This window comes from Homo sapiens, chromosome 5, assembly GCF_000001405.40.
Source record: "Homo sapiens chromosome 5, GRCh38.p14 Primary Assembly".
NCBI classification, from domain to species: Eukaryota; Metazoa; Chordata; class Mammalia; order Primates; family Hominidae; genus Homo; species Homo sapiens.
This window is the reverse complement of record NC_000005.10, coordinates 71,781,635-71,789,223: the sequence shown is the minus strand read 5'-3', so window position 1 is coordinate 71,789,223 and position 7,589 is coordinate 71,781,635.

Genomic DNA, 7,589 nt, shown 5'->3' with positions numbered 1-7,589 from the left:
TCTGACCTCACCATTGCCTACTCTTTCTCTGACCCCATCTCCTGAGGCACAGGGGACTTTTCTCACTTTAGGGTTGGTGCATCTGCCATTGCCTCTGCCCATAACATCCTACCCATCAATATTCCAAGCCTCACTCTCACCTCATTCAAGTCTCTGCTCAGTTGACACCTTTTCAAAGAGGCTTATCTCAGCCATCCTTTCAAATTAGAAAGCTGCTCCTTTCTCTGCCTCAACTCTCTTTCCCCATTCCTCTGTTACTTTCTTTTTTTGTTTTTTGTTTTTGTTTTTTTTTTGGTCATACCACTTACCATCTTCTCATATACTAATTATGTACTTTACTTAATTATTACCTTTCGTATCTGCCTCCCGTGCTAGGGGTTCAGCTCCCCAAGGGCAGCTACTTTTGTCTGTTTTGTTCACTGCTGAGTCCCAAGTGCCTAAACCATATCTGGCACATAGTAGATACTTTAAAATTATTTGTAGAATAAATGAAGGAATTTCTTCTTTGTAAATATTTTTTCTTATACCTCATTAGCATGTATCATTTTAATAAATAAAACATTTTTGCAAATCCACAATTAGGTATTTTTGTCACCAGTCAACTTTTTTTTAAAGACTGGTTAATCCCATAAGGGTTCTCTCCTTCAATAGAATTAAATCTGTGAATCTCCTATGACATTATCACCCTTAAAGTTTATCCACAGCTCCAGGTCCAACAGCTATCCTGATACCAAAAGCTGTTCAACTGATTTTTTTTTCAGCCATTGGTGATTTTTTCTGCAGCACTAGCCACAAATGTTCTCTTCAGTCTGCTTCAACTATTAAAACAAGGAGAGGAACAGCCTCAACTGGCCCTTCTAAGGTTCCTGAACAAGGTTCCCTTGAAATACTTTGTATGTCTGTGACAAAGACAGAGAAAAATAATTATTTACGTGCCAGGAACTCTCTCTACCACTCTGCTGGCTAGCTTTTACCTCTTTGGTAGACAGTGCCTGCGCTATTAGCTAAACTCTGACAACTGGATGTTTGTACCTAGCTCTTCTCCCTGATTTTCATCACTGAAAGCTCCAGCAGGTTCTTGGTTCACCAGCAGACCTGCTTGGATTCATCCTGTTTTCAGTTACAGACTAAGCTCTCCAGAGTAAATACATGCAGCTAAAAACCTTCAGACAAGTGGCTTGGGTGGAGGAAGTTTACCACCCCCATCATCTCCATCAGCCACCCCAAATAAGCATCACATCTAAGTAATAGACATCATGCTCACAACTAAAAGGCAGGGTTGTATAATGGACAAGTGTATAGATTTTGGAGTAAAACTACATTGGCTTAAGTCCTTTCTTCACCACCCGTGTATGACTTTGAGCAAGTTACTCACAATGCCTCAACTGGAAATCAGTACAGTAAGGTTAATAATAAAACATCCATCATAGGGTTGTTTTGAAGATTAAATGAAGCATTCTCACTGCAAAATAAATTTTCAATCAATGGTAGTTTAAATTATTATGCAAACTCTGTTGCAGAACAAGTCCCTAGCTGACCCCCTTTGAACCAGATTGGCACCCCTAAGCCCTTTATTTAGAAAGTTTGGGAGAACCCCTGATTTAGACAAGATTTGCCAAGCACTTCCAGTTTTCTATGGTCACCAATCCAATAGCTCTTAAAAGGAGATATCTGTTTGCTTATGCTGTAAGACCGCCAGCCCAGTGACACCCTCTACCCAACACCTTCACACAGAGAACCAAATAACCAGAAGGGCACAGGCCATGTTGCCTGTTCTCCAGTCTGTGAGCAAGGGTAAAGTTAGCATTTTCAGACAGAGTCTGCTACCGAGTAGAAATCAGCCATCTTGGAGTCTATACTCCCACGACCACCTCAGTCTCACACTTCTGCAACCCCAAAGATTATTCACAATTGCAATTTGATAAGATCTACCAAAGACTGCAAATGCAATTAAGACTTGAAGCATCTCCCATTTTCCATTTTAGTCAAAGAGAACAATGCCAAGCAACTTCTTGAAAAGTCAGAGTTTCCAGAACTCTGTGCCCAAATTTCAGACCAAGAGCTGGGAACTGATGAAAACACAATGTAATCTTAACCCCATGCAACCTACTCAGTTTCTAACATTTATCACCCAAGTGATCTATTTGGATGAAAAGGAAATTCTATCTGTTGCAGAATTATGTTCTACACGAATTCAAGGAGAATTTGTTTCATTTGCCATTTCTTCTGGGCCATGAGGGTCTCCTTGTCCTCTGAAAAAGCAGATGGTGCAGCTGAGGTTGTGAGCTCTCTGACCAAATCCAAGTGACAGGAAGGGGACCTGCAGGCACAAAGAAGCAATTTGACTTAGAAACGTCACACTGCAGGCTGCCGATTAAAAACCTTTGTTGAGATGCAGTCAGCCATGGAAGATGTCATGTGTTGTCAGGTTTAGAGACACCTGTGCCACTGATGGGTGGCTTCTTCCATTGACTTCGGCACTCCATCTGAAGTGAGAGGGCATTCCTACCAAGAACTCTGAGACTTAAAGGGAGAATGACACAGGAACAAAGAACACAAGCCTAAAAGTCAGATTATTATGCTACCACTGACTCTATTATGAAATTCTCAGTTCTCCAGACCTCGGTTTATCTTCTGTGCAGTGAGGGATTTGAGCTATAGGATCTCTGCGGTCTGTAACTCCAGCCACAGGAAATGGAAGTCTGCTCCCTTTCACAAAGGCTCTTTGTCGTGAAATCCCTTGCTGCTGACCCCCTGGACCTCATGCAAGCACCATCTTTAGAAATTAGCATTATATTGATTTTGACTTGGCTGTCATTGATGCTTCTGTTTTATGTGTTTTAATTAAATGTTATTATTTGCCACTGTGTCCCGAGGCCATGTGTTGGGAATGGGTGAGATTGCATAAATCAGACGTGGAATTCTATGTTGGGAGTCCATTGACTCTCTCAGGATATCGCTGTAATTATTTCCCTTGGATCAATAGAGAAGCTTTGATGTTGTCTTTACAGCCAAGAGAAGGCTTCTTTCCATTTATCTCCCACCTTGTTGAAAATGCACAGAGCCCTTCTCTAAAACTCACCCTCCCTTAATATAAAAATGAGCATTTCATTGTGTTTTCAATGTTGTTGCTATTTTTTAGGCACTGTCATCTTTCAGAGCCACCTCCACCTGGGGACTGGGAGCCAGTTTCACTCTGCGACATGAAGTCCCGTCTTGGGCCTGGGCCTTCTGTCCGTTCCCCTCCGGCTCCCATCATGGTTCCTCTCTGCACTGCAGGCCTGGGGCCACTATTCATTCTAAACTTCTTCTAGATGCTTGTGTTATCAAGGATGTCATTTTTATTACCCTCTCTACACTCGCATGTCTGCCTTGCATAAAGTTAGCTCTCAGTGCATGTTGGTTGAATCGAACTAAGAGGAGAGAGTGAGGAATTTGAACTTCTCTCCAGCAGAGTCACCTAGAGCCAGTCGAGGTTCATTTCAGAACCTGTACCCTAACTGGGACAGGAAAGACTGTAGCTGGAGGAAGAAGAGAGGCTATGGTTTTCTAGAGCATCATTCTGTATGTTAAGTCCAAACAATACTAACGTTTTTTTAAAAAACTCCCATTATATATAATAAATTCTTAGCATACTTTGGGGGTGGGGCTGGGAGGGATGATTTACTAACCATTTTTTGCTCATGCTTAATAAATATTTCCTGAAAGTATACAAGTCAAGAATCCAATTCAAGAAATGAGAAAAAAGAGCATCTTCCTCAAAAAAAAGAAAAAAAATTTTTTTAAATCAATGAAATTCATTTTGTACTGTTTACAATTTTATTGCTGCATCCTAGGCACTGACACATAATAAATGCTCAATAAATATTTATTGAACAAAAATAAATCAATAAACAAATATTTCTTGAATAGATATTTACATAGAAATGAGGCACCAGAGCAAGTGCAAATATCCCCTCAGACTCCCTGTCTTCCTCAATCCAAATCCAACCACCTCCAAGAAACAGGGCTTTCCCCAACACTGGCATTTTCATTTTTCTGAATTTCTAAAGCCATAGGTTTCTGCTTAATTATACCTTTATTTACTTAAAAAATATTTATAGAGCACTATGTGCCAGTCACCATTCCAAGCACTCATATATATCTCATTTAATCCTTAAACAATTCCATGAGTGGGTATTAATATTACTAATATTATTATCTTCAACTTACTGATGAGAAAATTGAGGCATGAAAGAGCTAAATAACTTGGCCAAGATCACACAGCCAGTGAGTACTGGAGTCAGGATTTATCTATTTTTATTTTATTTTATTTTAGAGACAAGATCTTACTCTGTTACCTAGGCTTGAGTACAGTGGTACAATCACAACTCACAGCAACCTCGACCTCCTGGGCTCAATCAATCCTCCCACCTCAGCCTCCCAGGTAGCTAGGACTACAGGGTCACACCACCATACCAGGATAATTTTTTTTATTTTTTTGTAGAGACAGGGTCTCACTTTGTTGCCCAGGTTGTTCTCAAACTCCTGGGCTTAAACCGTCTTTCTGCCTCAGCCTCCCAAGGTGGGTAAGCCCCAGAATCTGTTTTTGTGACCACTATTCTGGGCCACTACCACCCTTGCCATGATTGATCTTCAGTTGTTTCATGCCAACCTGGGCTCTCTCGTTGTCCTGTGAGCCTCCTGACAGGTGGGACCACAACTCCTGCTGCTTTTATCACATTCCCCCATCATATTTATTCAATAAATGTTTATTAAGCACCTCCTTTGTTTCTGGCATGTTCTAGGTTCCAGGAATACAGCAATGAACCAGACTGTCCAATCCCCTCCTCATGGAGTTTACATTCCAATGAGAGAAAAACAGACGATACCCAGGCAAACAAGATACTTAGAGATCATTACAAGTGCGATAAAGGAATAAAACAGAGTGAGGAGTCAGGAGGCCTTGAGGCAGAGGGAGCCTCCTTACATCATGGGGTGAGAAAGGGCTGTCTGCGCTGAGCCCTGAGGAAAAAGAGCCAGCCAGTGAGGAGTTAAGGGAAGAGAGCTCAGGTGCAAAGAGCCTGAGGCAGAAATGGGCTTGGCAAGTTCTGGAAGGAGAAAGATGCCTGGAGGGTGACCAAGCAGGATAGGAGAGGGGAACAGAGCTCAGAGCTTGCAGGCCTGGGGAAGTTTGGATTCTGCACACGGTGTTGAGAGAAGCCACAGGACATGACACAGCGCTCACATGACACAGTGAACACTAAACGACTACCACATCTCTATACCTGGGTGCCTCTCTGCACACCAAGCTACCTGGAACCACTGAGCACTGCCTCCGGGGTGCCCCGTTACCCCCAAAATTGCTGTTCTAGTAGGGTGCCGGGGACAACCTTGTGGGCCTGGAGTCAGATGGTCTGAGTTTCAATCTCTACTCTTCTGATCACACGTTGAATGACTTTAGGCAAATTATTGAACCTAAGCTTCAGTTTTCTAGCCTGAAAAAAGTACATCATAAAGGACATATCCCAGATTACTGTAAGGGTTAAATGAGCGGATAGGTACCACATGCTCAGTCGTTCTTATGTTGTGGTGGTGATGTTTATTAATCGTGCTAGGAGTTCAGCCCTGAAGTGTAAACACTTCCTAGCAGAACGTGCTGTAATTTCTGGCATCAGCTATACCGTTTTCTGGGCTAAGAGCAACAGATCAGTGAAAAGGGTCTGAAAAGAAGAAAAAAAAAAACGGTATGATACAACACGTCTACTATTTCCCAAATAACATGACCTCTACTTTCTATTTTTTATGCAACACGCTGGAAAGTTCTAATGCATTCAAAATCCCTCTCCAAGCTCTCTCTGGTTTCTTATTAGCATATGTCCAGAGACAACATCAGTCGTGCGACCCTCTGAGGAGAATCGATGACTGAAAATGTAGCGCGCCATGACCAGAAACTCAATTCCCGGCCAGATGAAAAAAGAAGCCCATTTAACCCAAGGAATGTCAAGGCCAGGGTTTCTGTTCAGATATCCTGAGAAACGAGTTACATGGAAACGCCGAGACGGAGGCCTCCATCCCCACGCCGAGCATGTCTTTTCTTTGGTGCGCCAAGGAACCCATTAAGAACCAAGCCCTGGCGCCATCTCCTGGCAGTCTCGAAAACTGAAAAGCAGACGTTTAACACAAGGGACCCCTCCCTCTCCTTGACAGAAATTAAGTTCGGGGGAAAAAAACTGGTAATTTCATGGGAACTTCTGTGTTTTCAACCTCCTGTTAAATATTTGAATCGAGAAGAGCAGATGGTAGCAGTCTCAGCCATTTACAGTCCCCACAAGGGACTGTCCCTGCTATACCGCCACTTCCTTTGTTTCTGTAAGAGCTTGTCACTCAACAGAGGTACCAGAGATCAGAGCCAGCACATTTATCTGCAGTAGCTGGTGCTTGGCCCCACTCCCACAAGTGCACCCAGCATTACCTGAGGATAGTCCTCTGCCCAAATTAACATCTTCAAATACATCTACTTTCTCAAAATACTTTACACAAAGAAAGCATGCATGAAATCTGCCTTCAAAGAGGTGGGCTCCAAACTCACTGCAAAGCTGCAAGCCCAAGTTCACCTCAGTACCCAGAATCTCATGATAAGGATCAGTTTGGGGTCTTGCTCTCCCTAGGGAAAGACCAGGTGGCACCTTTGCCTTCACAGCCACTTTCACTTTCCAAGGCTTTGCCTGGCCCGGGGAGTTTCCGCAGTTAGCGTTCAGCTTCATACTCACCATAAAGCCAGGTAACTTGGCATCATTAGACACAGAGCCTGAAATGACTAGAAAAAATAAATCTGCAGGGTTGCTGACCAAGGAGTGAACCAAAATCCCCAGGAATTTGGTCTTATTCCTCTGGAAGGACAAGCAGGGTGGTTTTGAAAACAGGGAAGCCATTGGCTGGGCTGGTTCCTCCCTGCTTTACTCAGGGATATATATTTACTTATTTAAAATGCATTGAGCCCTTTCTGCTTGGCAGATAATGTAAAAAGCACTTTACCAGCAGTTCTTTATTTAATCTCAACAACAACCCATACAACTGGTATCATTTTTATTTCCATTTAACAGATAGAAAACAGAGAGAACTTTACATAACTTGCCCAAGATCTTAGAGCAAATAAATGGTAGAGAAAGGATTCAAGTTTATGCATCCTGATTCTTCTTAACCACATAAGAAAGTATCTCTCAGAGACCCAGGACTTGGGATTTTCATTGGCACTTCTGAAAACACAGCCACTCCTCATGTTTGTAGGATGAATGAAATGGGATAATTTTCCCTAAAGAAAAAAGGTGCCCTCCATAGCCCTTCGAATGTGTGTGTGTGGTGGGGGAGGAGGAGATGCAGTAGCATCTGGCCCCGAATTTTAGTCCTTCTTGAACAGCATATACCCCATGTAAATTCTTTCCCCTGAGTCTTCACACGCTTGATCCAGTTACTGAACCGTAGTCCTCATCCCCAGCCCATTTTTTAGGACCTTGTCCTTAATTTTCTCATATCATTCATGCCTGATGACTGATTTCTCATGGTTATTTGCAAAAGCACAAATACAAATGCTATTAACTGGTAATAAA